Source organism: Homo sapiens, chromosome 13 (assembly GCF_000001405.40).
Source record: "Homo sapiens chromosome 13, GRCh38.p14 Primary Assembly".
Lineage (NCBI taxonomy): Eukaryota > Metazoa > Chordata > Mammalia > Primates > Hominidae > Homo > Homo sapiens.
Genome location: NC_000013.11, coordinates 49,053,537 through 49,076,526, shown reverse-complemented (window position 1 = coordinate 49,076,526; position 22,990 = coordinate 49,053,537). Strand labels below are relative to the sequence as shown.

General features: G+C 38.1%; 1 protein-coding gene across 5 annotated transcripts in view, besides 1 other annotated feature; it reads right to left on the bottom strand.

Annotated features, from left to right (window-relative positions):
• The window catches only part of FNDC3A (fibronectin type III domain containing 3A), a 234,489-nt gene that overhangs the window by 133,253 nt on the left and 78,246 nt on the right, over positions 1 to 22,990 (bottom strand). For all 5 annotated transcript variants that reach the window (NR_103528.2, XM_017020440.3, NM_001079673.2 and 2 more), the window contains exon 3: positions 1,163 to 1,238. Coding sequence is in view for 4 of the 5 variants with exons in the window: in XM_017020440.3 (XP_016875929.1) it covers positions 1,163 to 1,238 (76 nt within the window). In the remaining variant the exon portion in view is untranslated. The remainder of the gene's footprint in view (positions 1 to 1,162; positions 1,239 to 22,990) is intronic.
• Positions 17,403 to 18,602: an enhancer, noted in NCBI's record as "BRD4-independent group 4 enhancer chr13:49632061-49633260 (GRCh37/hg19 assembly coordinates)". NCBI's record gives its function as "activates an origin of replication core promoter dependent on BRD2, P300/CBP, MED14 and CDK7 cofactors, and independent of BRD4, by STARR-seq in HCT116 cells {active_cell/tissue: HCT116}" and the evidence as "EXISTENCE:reporter gene assay evidence [ECO:0000049][PMID:35650434]".

The window sequence follows — 22,990 nt, the reverse complement described above, 5'->3', positions numbered from 1 at the left end:
ACGTCTGTAATCCCAGCACTTTGGGAGGCTGAGGTGGGCGGATCACCTGAGGTCAGGAATTCAAGACCAGCCTGGCCAACATGGTGAAACCCCATCTCTACTAAAAGTACAAAAATTAGCCAGGCGTGGTGGCAGGCACCTGTAATCCCAGCCACTTGGGAGGCTGAGGCAGGAGAATCACTTGAACCCGGGAGGCAGAGGTTGCAATGAGCTAAGATTGAGCCACTGCACTCCAGCCTGGGTGACAGAGTGAGATTCTGTCTCAAAAAAAAAAAGTACTTACAGAGGTTAAGTAACATGTACAAGGTCATGTAGCTAGTAAACAGCAGAGGAGCTGGGATTTAATCCTAGGTTCTCTCTCTCTAATTCCAAAGCCAGTCATCTTTTTTATTGCTCTCATCTTCCCATAGGAAGATGGTTCTCAACTGGAGCCAATTTTGTCCCTCAGGGAATATTTGGGGATATCCAGAGACTTTTCTGTTTGTCATAAATGAATAAGTGAGGGTGAGTGGCTAGTAGGTATAAACTAGGAATTCCACTAAACACCCTACAGTTCACAGAACAGTCCCGCTGACCAAAGAACTGCCTGACCCAAAAGTCAACAGTACTAAGGAGATGCTCACTAAACAAAGACTTTCCAAAAAACCTGTTAAAGGTAGGACTGGAGCTCAGTCTTGAAGCACAGGTAGGATCTGAAAGGGGGGGTGGGGGTGGGGGTGGGGGGGGCAGTGGTGATAAGGGTGAATTCCAGATAAGGGAAACAGAACACATAGTACAAGATAGCTTCAAAAGACAGTGAATAAGCCTATTAGAAAAACTGAAGAAAAGCAATTTGAAGGGGAAGTGGGAACAAGACTAAAAAGCTGAAATGATCTTTCTGAAAAACTAAGACACCTGGACTAGATTTGATAAAGATTGCTGAACAGGAAAGAGACATGAACAATATAATATATCAAGAATAATCAACATAATCAGGAAACCAGGGCAAAGAGACTAGTTAGAATGACACTGCAATACTTAAATGCTAAGATATCAGAGTTTATGCTTTTGTGTGCTGGTAGTGAGAAAGAAGGAAGAAACCATAGGCATATACACTATTATGTATCATAAATTTTTGGGGTTTATTTGGTCTCAAATGATTATTCTCAATTACCATTCTTACCTGTAATGCACTGAAACTGTCCATCTTCTCTTCTTATTGTAAATGCTTCTCCTGGGTTAACTTGTACCAGAATAACCTTAAAAATGAGGGGAAGAAGTATTAATCAAAACAAAAAAAAGCAAATCAGAATATAAAAATAGTAACAGAGCAGATATAAGCTATTTAACCTTATGAAACTGGGAAGGAAAATGGGGATTACACATTTAAGATGCTGGTTTGCTAAAAAAAATGTGACATCACTTTTCTGGAGGTTAGACGTAAGCCAAAAGTAAAGGGAATAAAAAAAAGAAGAAAGTGACACACTTTCATTAGAAAGAAAAGTCAATAAACTTCACTCTGAAACAAAGATGGAGTCAAACCACAGAATATTTAGATCATCTAAGTGAGCTTATCAGTTGCTAAGTATCATGTTTTTCTAAAGTATAAACTGATAGGTAGAGCATGAGTTGAGCATATCTGAATTAGTATGACATCTGAAGTTATATTCGAGAATGTGTTAAATTAATCCCACCATTTTAAGTAGGCTTCCTTTTATTATAAAGGTAATACATACCAATTTTACGACATTTGAAAAACAGAGAAAAAACAGGAAACTGGGGAAAAAAACTAAAGTCCTGCTATCCTAAGATACACATTGTTAACATTCTAATAAACTTCTTATGCTGCACAGGATTAATTCTCCCTTAAATTCTAGATACAAGATATTCAATTCTCTACCTTTTTTAAAGTTCAATATTATTAAAAAAAAGACTTTCAAGTTATTACTGAAAATATTTCATCAAAAGATTATACCATAAACGACTTAACCATTCCCCTAACTTAAGGAATTTAGGTAGTTTTCAATTTTACCATTATTGTGAACAATGCTGAAGTGAGTGTCTTGGTATGCAGTTTTCACCTCTCTACAGCTAGTATTGTTTCCTCATGATAGATTCCCAAACACAGAATTTTGGTGCTTGTTGCTAAACTGCTTTTTAAAAGAGTTTTACTACTTCATGAAGTAACTCAGGAATGGAAAACCAAACATCACTATTTTCTCACTCATAAATGGGAGCTAGCTAAGCTATGAGGATGCAAAGGCATAAGAATGACACAATCAACTTTCGGGATGCGGGGAGGTGAGGAGAGGGGAGTGTGAGGGATAAAGGACTATAAATTGGGTACAGTGTATATTGCTCAGATGATGGGTGCACCCAAATCTCAGAAATCATCACTAAAGAACTTATTCATGTAACCAAACACCACCTGTTCCCCAAAAACCTATGGAAATAAAAAGTAACAGAAAGGGTTTTATAATACTACTTCGAATGCCCTCTCATAGTCTATGAGAACACCCTTTTACTACATTGTCTGCAACCCTGAAAATTACAGTTTTAAAATCTTTGCTGCCTTGACAGATGAAAATAGGATATTAAAATATGAGTATCCCTTAGCCAAAATGCTTGGACCAAAAATGTTTCCAATTTGGGATTTTTTTTTATTAAGGAATATGTATATATGTATGTGTGTGTGTATATACATATACACACATATATATAATATATACACATATATAATATATATACATATATATAATATATACACATATATATTATATACATATATATTATATATACACATATATTATATATACATATATATTATATATACACATATATATTATATATACATATATATTTTATATATGTGTGTATATATATATACATATGAAATGAGATATCTTGGGGATAAGACCCAAGTCTAAACACAAAAATCATTTATGTTTCATATATACCTTATACACACAGCATGAAGGTAATTTCATACAATATTATTGACTGTGTTTTGATTGTAACCTGTCATATGACCTGTCAGATGAGGTTGGGTGTGGAATTCTCCACTTGTGGCATCATGTTGGTGCTCAGAAAGTTTCCAATTTTGGAGCATTTCGGTTTGTCAGATTAGGGATGCCCAACCTGTACTATTGTTTTAATTTATCCTTCTTTGATTGTTATGTCTAAGTTTGTTACCAGCTCTTTTGTAAATTACCTGCTTGTGTCATCTTGCCTGTTAATCTTTTGGGTTTTTAAGTGTTTTTAATGATTTGTATGAACCCTTTGCATATTAAGAATAATAATATTGTACTATAATATGTTGCAAATATTTTTCTTTTTGTTTTCTGCCTTTTCTTTACTAAATTCTTTATTTTCCTGTAGCCAATGTTATTTATTGTTTTCCTTTGTGTTATCTTCTACTGCTTCTATATTTAACTTCATCTACAGCTGTGCTGTCCAATGATAGCCAAGAGCCATATGGCTATCAAGCACTTGAAATGTAGCTAGTTTGTATGGATATGCGCTGTAAGTGTGAAATAAACACTGGATTTCAAAGGCTTAGTACATCCAGCCAGAGAAATTAGGCAAGAGACAGAAATAAAGAGCATACAAAGAAGAAAAGAAGAAGTCAAATTATCCTTGTTTGCAGACAACATGATCTTATACTTAGAAAAACCTAAAGACTCCACCAAAATACTCTTAGAACTGACAAACAAATTTAGTAAAGGTGTAGGACACAAAATCAACATACAAAAATCAGTAGTATTAGCTGGGCATGGTGGCTCATGCCTGTAATCCCAATACTTTGGGAGGCTGAGGTGGGAGGATTGCTTGAACCCAGGAGTTTGAGACCAGCCTGGGCAATATAGCAAGACCCCATCTGCAATTAAATAATAATTATTATTTTTAAAACTCAGTAGTGTTTCTACACATGAACAATCAATATGAAAAAGAAATCAAGAAGGCAACCTAATTTATAATAGCTACAAAAAAGAAACCACCTAGGAATAAATTTAACCTAAGAAGTGAAAGATCTCTACCAGGAAAACTATAAAACTATAAAACAGCATGGTACTAGCATAAAAACAGACAGAGAGATCAACAGAATAGAGCAGAGAACCCAGAAATAAATCTATGCACTTAGAGCCAACTCATTTTCTTTTTTTTTAACTTTTTAACTCTCACTTTTTTCTATCTTTTCACCTAGCCTTGACATGAAACTCAACAACCAATTCATTTTCATCAAAGGAATCAAGAACATATAGTGGGGAAAGAACAGTCTTTTTAGTAAATAGTGCTCAGAAAACCGGTTTTCTATTAGGCAGAAGAATTAAACTACAGTTCCATATTTCAACATATACAAAATCAGCTCAAAATGGCTTAAAGATTTAAATGTAAGACCTAAAACTACAAAACTACTAGAAAAAAACATTGGGAAAATACTAAAGGACCATGGTCTGGGCAAATATTTTTTTGTTTAAGACATCAAAAGCACAGGCAACAAAAGCAAAAATAAAATGGGATTATGTCAAGCTAAAAAGCTTTTGCACAGCAAAGGAAACAATCAACAAGGTAGCTGGACATGGTAGCTCACACCTATAATCCCAGCACTTTGGGAAGCTGAGGCAGGAGAATCACTTGAGCCCAGGAGTTTGAGACCAGCCTGGGCGACATAGTGAGACCCTATCTTAAAAACAAATAGAAACAAAGTGAAGAGACAACCCATAGAATAGGAGAAAATATCTGCAAACTATCTATCTGGCAGGGCATTAATAACTGGAATATGTAAGGCTCTCAAATGACTCAATAGCAAAAAAAAAAAACCAAATAATCAGATTTAAAAATAGGCAAAAGATCTGAGTAGACATTTCTCAAAAGAAGACATACAAATGGCCAAGTATATAAAAAAATGCTCAACATTACTAATCATCAGGGAAATGCAAATCAAAACCAAAATGAGATATTATCTTAACCCAGTCAGAATGGCTATTACAAAAATGTCAAAAAAATAACAGATGTGGGGAGGATGCAGAGAAAGGAGAATGCTCTTACACTGTTGGTAGGAATGTAAATTATTATAGCCATTAGGGAAAACAGTATGGAGGTTCCTCAAAACACAAACAATAGAACTACCATATGACCCAGCAATCCTACTGCTGAGTATATGTCCAAAAGAAAGGAAATCAGTATATCAAAGAGATATTTGTATTCCCATGTTTATTGCAGCACTATTCACAGTAGCCAAGATATGGAATCAACCCAAGTGTCCATCAATGGATGAATGGATAAAGAAAATGTGGTATATATACACAATGAAATATTTTTCACCCATGAAAAAGAACAAAATCCTGGCTGGGGAACGGTGGCTCACTCCTGTAATCCCAGCACTTTGGGAGGCTGAGGTGGAAAGACTGCTTGAGCTCAGGAGCGCAAGGCCAACCTGGGCAACAGAGTGAGACCTCATCTCTACAAAAAAAAAAAAAAAAAAAGCCGGCATGGGGGTACATGCCTGTAGTTCCAGCTACTTGGGCGGCTGAGGCAGGAGGATTGCTTTATCTCAGGAGGTCAAGACTGTAGTGAGCTACGATGGCACCACTGCACTCCAACCTGGGCAATGAAGTGAGATCCTGTCTCAAAAAAAAGAAAAAAAACAAAACAAAAAAAAAAAAGAAATCCTGTTATCTGTGGCAAAATGGATGGAAATTGAGGTCGTTATGTTCAGTAAAATAAGCTAGGCATAGAAACATAAATATTGCATGTTCTCACTCACATGTGGGAGCTGAAAAAGTGGAACTAAAGGACGTAGAGAATAGAATCGTGGTTACTGGAGGCTGGGAAGGTGGGTGTGAGATTGAGAAGAAATCAGTTAATAGGTACAAAATTACAGTTAGAAAGAATACGTTCTAGTATTTGATAGTAAAGAACTTAACAGTTACTACTTTATTATGTATTTAAAAGTAGCTAGAAGATTGTTGTGTTTTCAAAACAAAGATAAATGTTTGAGATGACAGATATCCCAATTATCCTAATTTGATCATTGGACATTGTATACATGTATCAAAATATCACATGTATCTTTAAAAATACATTAAAAACCTTAAGGCTTAGTATTAAAAAACTCTGGTACTTCATATTTTTATATCAATTACATGTTGAAACAATATTCTGGACATACTGGGTTAAAATGTTATAATTAATTTTTCCTGTTTTTATTTTTTTAATGAGGCTACTAAAAAATTTTAACACTACTTATTAGCTGGGCGTGGTGGCGGGTGCCTGTAACCCCAGCTACTCAGGAGGCTGCGGCAGGAGAACTGCTTGAACCCAGGAGGCGGAGGTTGCAGTGAGCCGAGATCATGCCATTGTACTCCAGCCCGGGTGACAGTGCAAGACTCTGTCTCAAAAAAATAAATAAATAAAAATAAATTTTAAAAAAACACTACTTATGTGGCTTGTATTATATTTCTATTAGGCAACACTGATCCAGAGGTTTGGATTAGTACTAGTTCCTATTTTTCCTAGTTTTTATATAACTTAATTGCTTATATTTATTTCCTTGATGTATCTAAAATTTATCTGAAGACTCAAAAGTATTTTTTCCCTTGAGAGTTAACCAATACAATTTGCTAAATTTAGGATACTTTCTTTTGCTTATAATATACTATTCTGGCCTATCTCACTCATACTAGTATCTGCTCTAGCAAAAGTAGCTTTGGAAATATGCTTCATTTTAATAATTTTAAGCAGTGTAACTTTGGATTTCTGATGGTGTACCTCAATTATTACTCCTCTTGTCAAACACTTCTTTGATATTGACTGGTGAGAGAAGTGCTATAATAGGGGCAGTAAAATGCTATCAAACCACTGAAGATTGAGTATGTAAATTAGTCTGTTACCTGAGCACTTGTGTGTATGTGTATGTACATTTGTATGTTCAATGCCTTTTTAGAGTATGTAAAATTTAAGCTGTGTCTTGAAGACTCAGTAGGAATTGGCCAGGCAAGAAGAGTGGGAAGGCCTAGAGAAGAATAAGGGCAAAGCACAAGGATCGGAAATGACATTAAGTTTACTGTGTTCAACGAACCAAAAGAAATTCTGGAGTTCTATATGGTTGGAGCATGGGGGTGGGGGAACACGGGAAGGGTGAGAAATATAGTAAGCAGTGGATAGGAACCAGGTTATGAAGGGTCTAGTGAGCCATTTTAAGGACAATGAAGAGTTTTATTTAAGCAGGGTAGTGCCACAGAGGATTAACTCAGGAGGCCACCGTCATCTTTAAAGGTATTAAAGGTTTCTTTAAAGGTATTAATTTCTACTTTTAACTTTCATCATTTCCTTTGTTCTCCTTAGGCTTACTTTTTTGTTTTTTCTAATCTTTTCAGTTAAATACTCATTTCATTCTCTTCTTAATAATACCTACACTTAAGATTATGAGTTTTACTTAAATCAGCTTAACCATGTAGAGTATTTTCAGTACATTTTTTTTAACTTTTATTTTAGGTTCACGGTACACGTGTAGGTTTGTTATATAAGTAAACACTGATGTCACGGGGGTTTGTTGTATGTATTATTTTGCAACCCAGGTACTAAATCTAGTACCCAATAGTTATTTTTTCCTACTCCTCTTCGTCCTCCCACCCTCCACCTTCAGGTAAGCCCTAGTGTCTGTTGTTCCCCTCTTTATGTCCATGTGTTCTCATCATTTAGCTCCCACTTGTAAGTAAGAACATGTTGTATTTGTTTTCTGTTCCTGCGTTAGTTTGCTAAGGATAATGGCCTCCAGCTCCATCCATGTCCCTGCAAAGGACACAATCTCATTCCTTTTTATGGCTGCATAGTATTCCATGGTGTATATGTACCACATTTTCTTCATCCAGTCTGCCACTGAGAGGCATTTAGGTTGATTCCATGTCTTGGCTATTGTGAATAGTGTGGCAATGAATGGATGCATGCATGTATCTTCATGACATAACAGAACAATTTCTATTCTTTTGGGCATATATCCAGTAATGGAATTGCTGGGTCAAAAGGTAATTCTGTTTTCAGCCCTTTGAGGAATCGCCACAATGGTTGATTCCACAATGGTTGATTCACCACTATTAGATTTTCTGCTATTTTGTTCTTGATCTCCTTTGTGATCCAACAACTGTTTTTATTTAATTTAATTAATTAATTAATTTATTTTTTATAGACGGGTCTCACTCTGTTTCCTGGGCTGGAGTGCAATGGTGCCATCACAGTTCACTGCAGCCTTGACCTCCCGGGCTCAATCTATCCTCCCATCATTGCCTCTAGGGTAGCTGGGACTATAGGTGAACACCACCATGCCTGGCTAAATTACACACACACACACACTTACACACTTTTTTTTTTTTTTTAAATAAAGACGGGGTTTTGCCATGTTGCCCAGGCTGGTCTCAAACTCCTGGCCTCAAGCGATCCGCCCAGCTCGGCCTCCCAAAGTGCTGGGATTACAGGACAGCCACAATGCTTGGCCTGTAAAACATACTTAAAATTTTGAAAGTAGACTGAAGGATGTTCCTTTTGCTTTTATTTCCAACACATTTTTAATGATTCTAACAAATCTATGGTTCTTAAAATTTTTAAAGCATTCCATCTTTTCCACCCTTTTTCTAATTAGTGATAAAATTTTATAGTGGTGGTGAATTACTGTAGGATGTTACTTGAGACCAGCATGGAGATAAAGCACAAGAGTTCTTAACCTGGGTGTCATAGATAGGATTCAAAGGGTTTGTAAACAACCTGGATTGGTATATAAACTTTCTGTAGATATTACAATTTCTGAGCACTGTTTTCATCAGATTTTTAGAGGTCCAAGACCCAAAGTAGATTAAGAACTATTAGGACAGACGAAATCAATAAGAAATGATTAAATTAACCCATTTATGCTGGAGGTTATAAGGTTTTTTTGTGAAAAATCGGACCTTGGCGATGACCTTGAGCAGCAGGATACAAATAACTCCCACAAGCTTAGCGTTCCAATAATGGTACACTAGGCATAAATGGGTTAATAAAATAAATCATGGCTAAACTACCTAAATATCTTTGCTTTACATCCACCTTACCCTATGGATACAATGATTCCTCAAAATTCTGTGTTTTGACCAAGCTATTAATACTTGTTGGCTGAGGCTATCCAGACAGAATGCCAAACCAACAATCTGCACAGAGAGAAGGATAAACAGGGAAATTAGAGAGGGAATTAAGAAATGCGAAAGACACTGCTCTAATGTTATTAGTTGATAGACAAATCAGAGATATTTAAAGCATAAATGTAGGCACATCTTACATATCCTTGAAGAATAAAGAAAATATAATTAAAATCTACAAATAACCCAAAAGCTAATTTTTTTTAAAACTAAAAATTTTTAGTTCTTCCCTCATCTGACCTTTTAGTAGAATAGCCAATTAACAGCATGATACAATCCTTTGGCTTTCCAGGTTACAATTTATTACTTCTTTACCCATCTCGTCATGTCTATTATAAGCCACTCTAGTCTAGCCAAACATTCCTTCCTGCCTCTACACTTTTGCCCATAAAGTCTTCTCCGAGGTAATTAAAAAATAGACTGTTTTTTGAATAAACATGCAAGCATATACAGATGCAAAACAATGCTAGTCTCATATGAATGGGTTTGGTGGAGGGGCAAAAAGGAATAGTCATTAAGAATATAAGCTTTGAGGGCAGTGAGGGGAAAGTATTAGGAGAAATACCTAATGCAGATGACCAGTTGATGGGTGCAGCAAACCACCATGGCACGTGTATACCTATGTAACAAACCTGCATGTTCTGCACATGTATCCCAGAACTTAAAGTATATATTAAAAAAAAAAGAATGTTGTTAAAAAAAAAAAGAATATAAGCTTTGAAGTATCTCTGATCTTGACTTTCAATATGCTTCACCACTTAATAGCTATTTGTAACTTTGGGTATGTTACTTAAGTCTTTGTTGCCTAGTCTGAAAACTGAGATCTATAATGATTTTGCCACAGGGCTGTTGAAGGATTAACAGATAATATACATGTAAAACATACAGCACAGTGTGACATACACAGTAAGCAGCAGTAAGTGAAGCCTATTACATATATCTTCAATAAGTGTTTCTTGGGCACCATAAATGCCAGATACTCTTTAGGTTATCTAGCAATGAACTATAAGGGTGAGAGATCTACTCTAGAGAACTCAGAAGAACTAAAACTACTTTTTTCTAGATTGCCTTGAGAGTTAGTTCAGAAGTCACAAATGAAAAAGTCTTACTATTTTATTCTTTTGTCTCTGACTCAAAATCTTTACTATGCTTGGCTCCAAATGACTATTTTAATAACCAAAACGAATACAGGAATACAGTTTTTTAAGAATTTTCAAAGGTATTTTATAATTTGGCATTTTCCTATTCATCCAACCAGGTCTGCCAATTGAACTAATAGAACTCTGGAAGACAAAGAATCTTGTCACTGAGATACCCAAAACAATGTACTATAGTACTTATTATATACTCAAAAAATCTTTGTTGAGTAGGAGAATAAGTAAATGAATAACATTCATTTAGCATAAACTTGAATGTTTTTAAGAACTCTATCATACTGACCAGACAACTTTAAATCATTTTTACAAGCTGCTTGGCCTTGTACTCTAATTTTAGTATTTCTTATAAATGTCTAAGAAAATAATTTTTTTACAAATAAAGAATGATTCTCATATTTTACTATGTATTAAGTTATAAAACTGGGATACAGTCATGGAAATACACAATGTAAATGAAATAGAGTAAAAGGTCCCCTCTTGTCCCCTTATTCCTTTTCAAATCCAGAAACCATCATGTTTAATCATAAAACCATTATGTTTATCTTTCCAGAAGTTTATTATGCACACAGAAATACCAGCCTCCCCTAATACACACCATTTTCTTTAAACACAACATCTTACTAGACATATATATTCAGCAAAAATTTACTGAAATCCAACAATGTAGTATATCTTGTTCTAGGCTGATATAGGTGAACAAGATAAGCAGAACCCATCCTCTTGCAGATGATACATTCTAATGGAAGAGTGGCAATAAACAGATAAATAGGTATGTAACATAAATTAGGAAGTGTGGTTACACTGGTGGTCCCCAGTGAATCACACCTCTTGGTATTACATATTGTGTAGTCCTCAATACTAACTCTGGGCTTGGCCATGTGACTTGGTTTTCATAAGCACTTAGATACTGGGCCCTGTGACTCTTGGAAAGTTCCCTCCTGGGTTCCTGAGCTACCATGTAAAAAAGGTCCAGATACTCTGCTGAAGATGCCACAGAGATGGGGAGAGAGAGCTGCCTGACCAGCCCATTGCAGGTTTCCAGCTCTAGTTGACTCTATACGTCTTTAAGTAGGTGAGTGACTCTAGGCAAGACCAGTGCAAAGACTGCCCAGTTGAGCTCTGCCCAGAGAGCAGAAATGGAGCAAATAAATGTTTGCTGATTTGACGCACTAAGTTTTGAGTTGGTTTGTTACACAACAATAGATAACTGAATCAGGAATTGAAAAGTATGATGGATTTTTTCACTCATACAATTTTCCACAGCAGTATACAGACCTACTCATTCATTATAACATATTGTAAGCAGACACGGAAGGTCTCCAGGGACTATAAGAATTTAATAAACATGAACTGTGAGCTTGCTTTATACCCTCCTGCCTTGCAACCTGTTTTTTCCCAAACCCTGTATGTTATGTGGTCATCTAGTCAGTTGGAATCAGCTACTGACAGACCTCAGCAACTTACACATGAACCCAAGTGAACTTTCCGCCTCACCATGCTATAAAGTCTCCACCCCAGGAGGAGCTATAGCATCATTATCATTACATGCAACCTGTGTGCTGGCATAATGACTGACTGTGTCTGCGCCACTGGGGCCCCTCCTCTACATGTGATGACGTATCCTCTCCCTTCTCCACTGATCCATGAAACCTTCCTGTCACTTTCCCTCAGGGAGACACTGCTTTGGAGAATACTCTCAGTGATCTCTTTCCTTGTGATAGGTAATAAAACTTCTATTGGTCAAAACCTGTGTTTTTGTGGACACTTGTTTGTTGCTTGCTAGGTGAACAAACCCCTTGTTGTTTTTTTTTTGGGGGGGGGGCGGGGGGCAATATTTCTATATTTATCAGCAATCTTCTTTTTCCACAGACTACTTTTTTTTTGAGACGGAGTCTTGCTCTGTTGCCCAGGCTGTAGTGCAATGGCACGATCTTGGCTCACTGCAACCTCCACCTCCCAGGTTCAAGCGATTCTCCTGCCTCAGCCTCCCAAGTAGCTGGGATTACAGGCACCTGCCACCATGCCCGGCTAATTTTTGTATTTTTAGTAAAGACGGGGTTTCACCATGTTTGTCAGGCTGGTCTCAAACTCCTGACCTCGTGATCTGCCCACCTCGGCCTCCCAAAGTGCTGGGATTACAGGCATGAGCCACCACGCCTGGCCTCCACAGACTATTTATTGATGTCCTTTACCTGTTTTTCAATTGGGTTGTTTGAATTTCTTCCACTGATTTGTAATAGTCGTTTGTATGCCAAGGAAATGAGCCCTTTGCCATAACATGTAACACAGATACTTTCTCTTTTTTCAAATAAAAAAATTTGTTTTGCTACACTAGAGTTTTACATTTTTAAGTAGAAGAATTATTATATCAATATGTTTTCCTTTATAGCTTCTGGGTTTCATTTTATATTACTGAGAAAAGAAAAACAGCTCAGAGCAGTCTGAGCTATGTGAGGCATGTAAAATTTATCAGGCCCAGAGAGACGTGAGTATGGGACTTCAGTCACACCCTATGCACCCATGCCCAGGGGCAATTGTTTAAAGATATTTTGTTCCTGACTAACTGACTCACCCATTATCTTCATTTTCCTGGAATTTGTGATACAAGGAATAATGTATACCCAATCAATAGCTTGTTATATTAATGTAATTTCTTGGAAACAATTTAGGAATTGCTTCCTTTCATTTCAAAACCTACTTGTAACTGCTGCTAATTGGAGTCTACATTCAGGGCAACTTGAATCCATGCTCCTGGTTTACAATCCTCGACCCTGGCCCAAATAAGCTCTACTTCCATGAATTTTGCCTCAGCTTCTTCCTTTTAGGTCAGCACTATAAAGGACTTTATATTACATGATTATTTTAAAAAAAAAACTTACCTAAATGTTTTTAGTATATTTAGAGTTTCTTTCCTTTTAAAATCATATTTACATCTCTGCTAAATCCAGAAGTTTTATTTGTATAGAAAATGAGTTATAGATTTGGCTTTAATGTTAGGAAACATTAGCTCATTGTCTAAATTGCCAAAATGTCATCTCTATTATATTCTCCCACAGTGCTTAGCAATGTAGTACAGTTAAGCAAGAAATGTTCATACTTATTGGATCAAATCCTATCATGTACTAGTTGTGCTGCAGAATTCTATAAATTACTAATAATTTCTGTAACAAAATCATTCACTATATAAAGTTGAGAAAAAGAAATAAAACTAAGAAAACCAAACATGATATACACATAAAACTGATATTAAGTACAAATGAAGATAAACAGACCTATTTTAAGTTAAAATATCCAGGGAAATAGCAGGAGGTGAAATTTATTCATTTATGTAAAAATCTTTTCTTAAACAGCTACCGTGTGGCACACACTCTTGCAGGTACTGTGGACACCAAAAGAAGAAAAATAAATCACAGTCCAAGGCATCAAGGAGTTCCCAGTCTAGGAAGAAAACAGACAAGTACTCAGCCAATTAACTTATAGTGTAACAAGTGGTATAACAGGAATATGAGCAATGCATTATAAGCATCCACTCAACCTAGGATGATCAGGGAAGATTCCTGCAAGAAATGATAAACTACACAGAATTCAGCGAGACAAGCAGAAGTCTGCAAGATAAAGACAGGAAAAGGAAACTTCAAGGAGAGGGCACATATAATGTGTACGAAGTCATGAGGGTGAAAGAGAACATGAGCAATCTGAAAAATAGGAAGTAGTGTGGCATAGCTAACATTTAAACTAGTTTGAGAAATGTGATGGAAAAAGATAAGACTGGAAAGATAAACAGGGGCTGAATCATAAGGATCCTTAACTAGTAGGCTAAAGAGTTCAACTGTTAACCTTCAGGCAACACTATTAAACAGGAAAGGGTCATATCCAAATTTCATCTTTACCCCCACTTATTTTGAAAAATTTTAAACCTATAGAAAAAAATGCAAGAATAGTTCAATTAGCACCCATGTAAACTTCACCTACATTCACCAATTAACGTGTTGCCACTTTTGCTCACTCTCACTCTTTTTGGTAAATGGTTTTAGAGTACCTGGGTGGTGTAAGGTTTGATCATTTTGTTAAGGTAGTATCTGTCAGATGTCTCTATGAGAAAGGCACAGTTTCCCTTCAATAGTGATAATCAACATGGTGATACTTCGGGGCTTTGTGAATATTCTTGTCCCTGGCAATCCTTTACACAATGGTTTCCGCAATTACTAAATCAATTATTACTATGGGGACTGTAAAATGGTGATTTTAAAACATCATTCTTTCTACATGTATTAGTCACCATTCTTCTCCAAGAAGAGCCTTTCACTGGATGTGGTACCTCATGCCTGTAATCTCAGCCCACTGGAAGGCTGAGGCAGGAGGATCACTTGAGGCCAAGAGTTTGAGACCAGCTTGGGAGAGGAGAGGAGAGGAGAGGAGAGAAGAGGAGAGGAGAGGGAGAGGAGAGGAGAGGGAGAGGAGAGGAGAGGGAGAGGAGAGGGAGAGGAGAGGGAGAGGGGAGGGGAGGGGAGGGGAGGGGAGAGGGGAGGGGAGAGGGGAGGGGAGAGGGGAGGGGAGAGGGGAGGGGAGAGGGGAGGGGAGGGGAGAGGGGAAGGGAGAGGGGAGGGGAGAGGGGAGGGGAGGAGAGGGGAGGAGAGGAGAGGGGAGGGGAGGAGAGGGGAGGGGAGGAGAGGGGAGGGGAGAAGGGGAGGGGAGGGGAAGGGAGGGGAGAGGGGAGGGGAGGAGAGGGGAGGGGAGGAGAGGGGAGGGGAGGAGAGGGGAGGGGAGGGGAAGGGAGGGGAGAAGGGGAGGGGAGGGGAGGGGAGGGGAGGGGAGGGGAGGGAAGGGGAGGGAAGGGAAGGGAAGGGAAGGGAAGGGAAGGGAAGGTAAGGGAAGGGAAGGGAAGGGAAGGGAAGGGAAGGGAAGAGAAGAGAGGGAAAATGGAAAATGGAAAAGGAAAGAAAAGAAAAAGCCAAGCATGCTGGTGCAAGCCTGTAGTCTCAGCTACTTAGGAGGCTGGGAGAGTGGGATTACTTGAGTCCGGGAGTTTGAGGCTGCAGTGAGTTATGATCACGCCACTGCACTCCAGCCTGAGTGACAGAGTGAGATCTCATCTCTAAAACAAACACAAGCCCCCTCTTTCAATTTTAATTTTTTTTTAGTCTCAATATGGACTCATGGATTCTTTTAAAAATCAATATTATAATCAATTTCTGTAACTATTAACATTTTTATTGAAGTGAAATTCATATAACATAAAATTAACCATATTAAAGTGTAACCTTCAGTGGCATTTGGTACATTCACAATGTTGTGCAATCATCACCTCCATGTATACTTCCAAAACATTTTCATTACTCATAAGAAATTCCTATGCCTATTAAGCAGTCACTCTACATTCTACCCTATTCCGAGCCCCTGGTAATCACCAATCTGCTTTCTATCTCTATGTATTTACCTATTTTGGATGTTTAATATAAACAAAATCATACAATAGTGATCTTTTGTGACCTGGCTTCTTTTCACTCAGTACAGTGTTTTTAAGGTTTAATCAAGTTGTAGCATGCATCAGCACTTTTTTTTTTTTTTTTTTTTTTTTTTGAGACCGAGTCTCGTTCTGTCGCCCAGGCTGGAGTGCAGTGGCACAATCTCGGGTCACTGCAACCTCCGCCTCCTGGGTTCAAGCGATTCTCTTGCTTCAGCCTCCCGAGTAGCTGGGACCACTGGCATATGCCACCACACCTGGCTAATTTTTATATTTTTAATGGAGATGGGGTTTCACCATGTTGGCCAGGCTGGTCTCGAACTCCTGACTTCAGGTGATCCGCCCACCTTGGCCTTCCAAAGTGCTGGGATTACAGGCATGAGCCACCAGCCCCGCCTCAGCATTTCCTTTTTATGGCTAAATAACATTCCATTGTATGAATATATCACAATTTGTTTATCCATTCAAATGATGACAGACATTTAGGCTATTTCCACCTTCTGGCTATTTAGAATAGTGCTGCTATAAACATTCATGTACAAAAGTATTTCAGTACTTGTTTTCATTTCTTTTGGATATACACGTTCCTTTGGATATTCCACATAGTACTTGTGGAATAATTAGGTCATATGGTAATTCTTATGTTTAACTTTTTGAGGAACCACCAAACTTCTCCATTGTGGCTGCACCATTTTATGTGCCTAACAAAAATGTATAAGGATTCCACTTATTCTACATTCTTGCCAGTTTGTTATTCCATTTTTTAATTATATCTATCCTAGTGAGTATAATGTATCTCTTGGTTTTGATTTGCATTTCCCTAATGACTAATGATGTTGAGCATCTTTTCTTGTGTTTGCTGGCCACTCCATCTTCTTTGGAGAAAAGTTTTTCAAGTCATTTGCCCAGTTTTAATTGGACTGGCTTTTTCTGTGTAATAGTTCTTTATATATTGTGGATGCTAGACCCTTAAGAGATACATGATTCACAAATAGTTTCTATAGGCCAGGTGTGATGGCTCATGCCTGTAATCCCAGCACTTTGGGAGGCTGAGGTGGGAGGATCGCTTGAGGTCAGGAGTTTTGAGACCAGCCTGGCTAACATGGTGAAACCCTGTCTCTACTAAAAATACAAAAATTAGCCAGGCATGGTGGCAGGTGCCTGTAATCCCAGCCACTTGGGAGGCTGAGGCAGAAGAATCACTTGAACCCAGGAGGCTGAGGTTGCAGTGCGCCATGATCATACCACTGCACTCCAGCCTGAGCAACAGAGCGAGAGCTCCATCCCAAAACAAACAAACAACAAAAACAAAACAGTTTCTATCATTCTATAGACTGTCTTTCACATCTCTGACAATGTTCTTTGGTGCACAAAAATTTTTAATTTCAATGAAGTCAAATTTGTCTAATTTTGTTTCTTGCGTTTTCAGTGTCATATTTAAGAATCCACTGTCAAATCCAAGGCCATGAAGATTTACCCCTATGTTGTCTTCTAAGAGTTCTATAGTTTTAGCTTTTATATTCAGGTTGCTGATCCATTTAAGTTAATTTTTTTTGTATATGATGTGAGGCAGAGGCCCAACTTCATTGTTTTGCATGCGGATATCCAGTTGTCCTAGCATCATCATTTCTTGAAGACTATTCTTTTCCCATGGAATCATCTACAGGTACTTGTATCCTAACATGTATCTAACATTTTGTGAGTACTTTTTAACTTTCTGACATGACAAATTGTTCTGAGCTCACTTTGTACCTTACCTCTGGTCCTGTTAAGGGGTGCAGTATTTAGAAACTGGGAACTGAAAGCTAGGTACAAATTTCATTTTTGAAAGATGGCTCTGACAGCAGTATTGAAAGAATGAAGAGTGAACCATTTCAAAAGCAAAGCTACCAATTAGAAGACTGTTAATCTGAATGGTGTGAAATAAATATTAGCTTGAGGAAAAGAGTAAAGCCATAGACAACATACTAAAAGATGAATCCTGAAAAGTCAGCAGACACTTAAACTAGTTTGCTAGGAATGACGTAACAAAATACTACAGGTTGGGTGACTTAAACAATATAAATTCGTTTTCTCATAGTTCTGAAGCTAGAAATCCAAGATCAAGGTGTCAGCAGGTTTGGTTTCTTCTGGGTCCTTTCTGTTTGGCTTACGGAAGACCGCCATCTTGCTTTGTCCTTACCTATTTCCCTTGTGCAGGAATCCCTGGTGTCCCTTTGTGTGTCCAAATTTCCTCTTCTTACAAGGATATTAGTTAGATTGGATTAAGGGAGGAGACCACCCCTCATACTGTCTTATGCCCAATTTCTGCCTCCAAAGAAAGAAGTAAAAACTAAAAGGCAGAAATGAAATCCGCAAGCAGACAGCCCTGCACCACACCCTGGGCCTGGTAGTTAGATCGACCCCTGACCTAATCGGTTATTTGCATAAAAAAAGCACTGTGAAGATCCCTGTCCTGTTCTGTTCCTTTCTAATTACTGGTGTATGCAGTCCCCAGTCACATACCTCCTGCTTGCTCAATCGATCACGACCCTCTCATGCAGACCCCCTTAGAGTTGTGAGCCCTTAAAAGGGACAGGAATTGCTCACTCGGGGAGCTCGGTTGTTGGAGACGTGAATCTTGCTGAAGCTCCCAGCCGAATAAAGCCCTTCCTTCTTTAACTCGGTGTCTGAGGGGTTTGTCTGTGGCTTGTCCTGCTACAGGATTAGGGCCCACCCATATTACCTCATTTTACCTTAATTACTTCTTTAGAGATCTAATCTCTAAACTTAGGCACAGTCTGAGGTACTAGGGGTTAGGACTTCAACATATAAATTTTGGGGGGGAGATACAATTCAGTCCATAGTATTTGTGTTTAGGAAAAATACTACTCTACTAAAATCCTGTGTTTCTTTTCATTTTGCAGAGAATGGAGAGAACTGCTTAATCAGAAAGTGTGCTAGTTAACTAAAACAAAATGGAATTGACTAGTCACCAGATTTTCAATAAGTCATTCTAATTTTTAAAGCCAAGATACCATATATGCTTAGTTTGATATTGGTTGAGAACAAAAATTCTATTTAAAATTTCATTATTAGTATATTAAATAAGGTAGAAAACTAATGCATTAAAAGTATATTAGAACATGTTAGTGTGCTTTTTGGAAACTTCTATTAATGGCAACATGAATATTGGATATCCTAAAAATCATCCCCACAAAACAACCAAAAATGCAAGGTATAAGATAACAAATGCATAAATTTGTAAAAAAGAGCTAAGAACAAAGAGGAAATGAAAAATTAGAGCAGCAAGTAGAAGTTGAGAGTTTATCTGGCATAAGAGGGGTGGCTGATGGCTTTGGTAACTAAATGGCTGAGTTTCAAAACCCGTTAAGAAATAGGAGATAAAGCCAGTAGTCCAAAGTGAGCAGTGAGTTTACATTAATATGTTCTGTGTAAATCCAGCTCCCCTAAAGACTACGCATTTAGTAAAAGAATAATTAGAACCCTTCTACCTTCAACAGAAGGACGTAAGAAAGCTCCTACATCATAGCCTGGGCAAAAGTCTCTTCCAGGAATTCAAGACTACTGATTTACCTTCAAATGAATCTGGGGACTAAATCTATATTAGCTATATAATCTAGAAACCCCTAGACAAAAAAATAACCCCCAAGTTAGTTTCTGGTCCATCAAGCCTGAGTACCTGGAAAAAGCCAACACAAATGTCTTTGAAGACATATCCTTAAACCAAGTTATTGAGAATTCCCAGACAAAAAGATCACATGAAATGAATACACAATATCAAAATATAAATCATGAAGAATTAGTCCACTGTAAATCAATAAAAGACAAAACAAACTGTAGGTTTTGACCTCCTAAAATCAGATAACAAGGTTTTAGGAAAGAGACAACATTAAAATGTTTAAAATGTTTAAAAATGTCTAAATATCTGAAGACACAAAAAGGAATTTAAAATATAAGATAATAAACTATGAAAACAGACTGCAGATTTAAGAAGAACAATAAAAACTGCTTGAAATTCGAAAATGTGGTCACTGAAGTTAAAAGAAACAAAACAATGAAATAGTTAAACAGCATATTGAATCCCAGTAGAAAACAGGTGAACTGGAAAAACAAAATATGTAAAATATAGAAAGGAAGTTGAGATACAGAAGATAGAATAAGAAAGTCCAAAATACATTTTAATAGGAGTTGCAGGAGAAGAACAGAGAATGAAGAAAGGCAACATTTAAAGACAAACCAGCCAAGAATTTTTCTGCAGTGACTTAATGACATGAATTCTCAAAATCAGGAAGCACAAGTCTCTAGATGAATAAAGAAATCAAAATCCACTCCTAGACACACTATAGTACAACACCAAAAACAAAGAGATCTTAAAAGCTTCCAGAGAGAAAAAATACATGTTACTTATAAAGAAATAACAATTAGAACAGCAAATTTCTGGCCAGTTATGGTGGCTGATGCCCATAATCCCATCACTTTGGAAGGCTGAGGCAGGAGGATTGCTTGAGTCCAGGAGTTTGAGACCAGCCTAGTGTTGACAAAGAGTTAAACTGCACTTTTTTTTTTTTTTGAGGCAGGGTCTTGCTCTGATGCCCAGGCTGGAGTGCAGTGACATGGTCTTGGCTCACCTCATCCTCAACCTCCTGGGCTCAAAGCAACCTGCCCACCTCAGCCTCTGAGTAGCTGGGACTACAGGCGCGTGCCACTACACCCAGTTAATTTTTTTTATTTTTGTAGAGATGGGGTCTTGCCATGCTGCCTGGGCTGGTCTTGAACTTCTGGGCTCAAGTGATCGTCCTGCCTCAGCCTTCCAAAGTTCTGGGATTACAGGTGTGAGCCACCACACCCGGCCTCTGTAAAATATTTGAAAAGATATATTCTGAGCCAAATATGAGTAACTAGTGGCCCATGACACAGCCCTCAGGAGATCCTGAGAACATGTGTCCAAGGTAGTTGGGGCACAGCCTAGTTTTATACATTTCAGGGAGACATAAAACATCAATCAAATACATGTAAGATATATATTGGTTCGATCTGGAAAGGCAGGACAACTTGAAGGGGCAGGGGGCTTCCAGGTTATATGTAGATTTAAAAATATTCTGATTGGCAATTGGTTGAAAGAGCTATTATCAACAGAAAGGAATGTCTGGGTTATGATAAGGGGTTGTGGAGACCAAATTTTATCATGCAGATGACGCCAGGTAGCAGGCTTCAGAGAATAAAGATTATAAATGTTTCTTATCAAATTTAAGGTCTGTGTTGATGTTAAATGCTGGTTGGCTTCCCCTAAATTCCAAAAGGGAGGAGGGTATAAGGCATGTATTACCCTCCCTTCTCGTCATGCCCTGAACCCATTTTGCAGGTTAACTTTGGAGTGCCCTGGCCAAGAGGTGGGGGTCTATTCAGATGGTTGGGGGGCCTTAGGATTTTATTTTTGGTTTACACTGGGCAACACAGCAAGGCCCCATCTCTACAAAGAAATAAGACTAGCTGGGTGTAGTGGTGCATGCTTGTATTCCCAGCTACTCAGGAGGCTGAGGCAAGAGGATTCCTTGAGCCCAGGAGGCCAAGGCTGAAGTGAGCCACGAACGTGACACCGCACCCCAGCCTGGGCAACAGAGTGAGACCCTGTCTCTAAAAAAGAAAAAAAAAAAGAAGAGCAAATTTCCCAACTGCCACAGTGAAATACAATGTACTAGTATATTCAGAATTTTAAGAAAACAACTATCAACCTAGAAATTAATCATATTTCTAAACTGTAATTCAAAAAGAAAATGAAATGAAGATATCTCAGGTAAAAATTGAGTTTAGCATTAAAAGACCCTCACCACAAATGAAGTAGAAAAAGAGAAAAAAGTAGAGTGAATAGAAAAAAAAATAAAGTTAGAAATAAATCCAAATATAAATATAAAATATAAACAGGGTCCCTGGGAAGCAGGACCTCCGAGGGGCTCAGCATTGATCCTGGCTAGGGCCAGGCAACTGCCCTTCCACCTGAAGCAGGGCTTGAGCTCCTCTCTGCCCATGAGGGGACGCCGCTCTGGGAGAATAAGGCCACCTTGACCATGGCTATGTTGTATATATGTCATAGAGATGTGAGTCCATCTCTGCCTTCATGTCTTCCTGGGCTCTTACTGTTCTTCCTTCCAGACTGCCCATCCCATCTGGAGATGAGAAAGGTGAGAGTGCAGAAATATGCACTATGAGAACATGTGCCCAAGGTGGTTTGGGTACAGCCTGGAGCAGGGACATGCATGCTCAGTATGGCTCAATACTGATTACAAGATTATGTTGAATGAAGTTTGAGTTTACTATCCTCTGTGCAATGTGTGGGGCAGTAGTGGGTCTGATAGGAATAGTCCTGAATGTATCTTCTATCTCTGATGTCTCCTTTCAGGAATCTGGCATCAACCATTACATTCTTTTTAATGGAAATGAATTATGTTTTAATATACTACAGGTTGTATACTACAGATGAACTATTAAAGTTTATAATGTCAAAACTTTCTTAGACCAAAGGCATCTTTCTGTTAACTAAAAATAAAATTCTAAGTGCCCTACCTGACTAAGGACCCTCTTTTAGGCCAAGAGGACCCAACTGAACCTGAAAAACTAGTTCAGACCATGATGCGAAAGGAGTGGTTAGACATGCCTCATTATACTCTCCTCCCTTTGGAGTTCAGGCACACAACTGACCAGCATTAACATTAAAATAGAGATCCTAAGACTGACAGAACAGACTCTTTGCAGAAACAAGATACCAAACTCCAACCTGACTCTAGTGTAGCATCACATGACAGCAGAGCCCTGGAAGAAACCAAAGTATTTTACCTCAAAATATGTTTCTCTGACATATTTTGCAATGGCCCTACAATGCTGTCTGTTGTGGGGGAAATTTACATTCTAGAGAATCTTCTTCCCCTTCCAGGACTTTTCCTGATTCTGAAAAGATTGGCTGAGTGCTCTAGCACCTACTAAGGCTCTGAATAGGGAATATTTGCCATCTATTGCCTCTGGGGGTGGAGGCATATGAGACGTCATCTACATAATAAGAACGCTGGTCTCCACAACGCCTTAACCTAGACGCTTCTTTCTATTGATTCCAGGTCTTATAATAGCTCCTTCAACCACTAAGAAAATAGTTGAATCCACCTATGACCTATAAGCCACCCCCCAACACCCCTTGAGTTATTCCACCTTTCCAGACCAAACCACTGTAT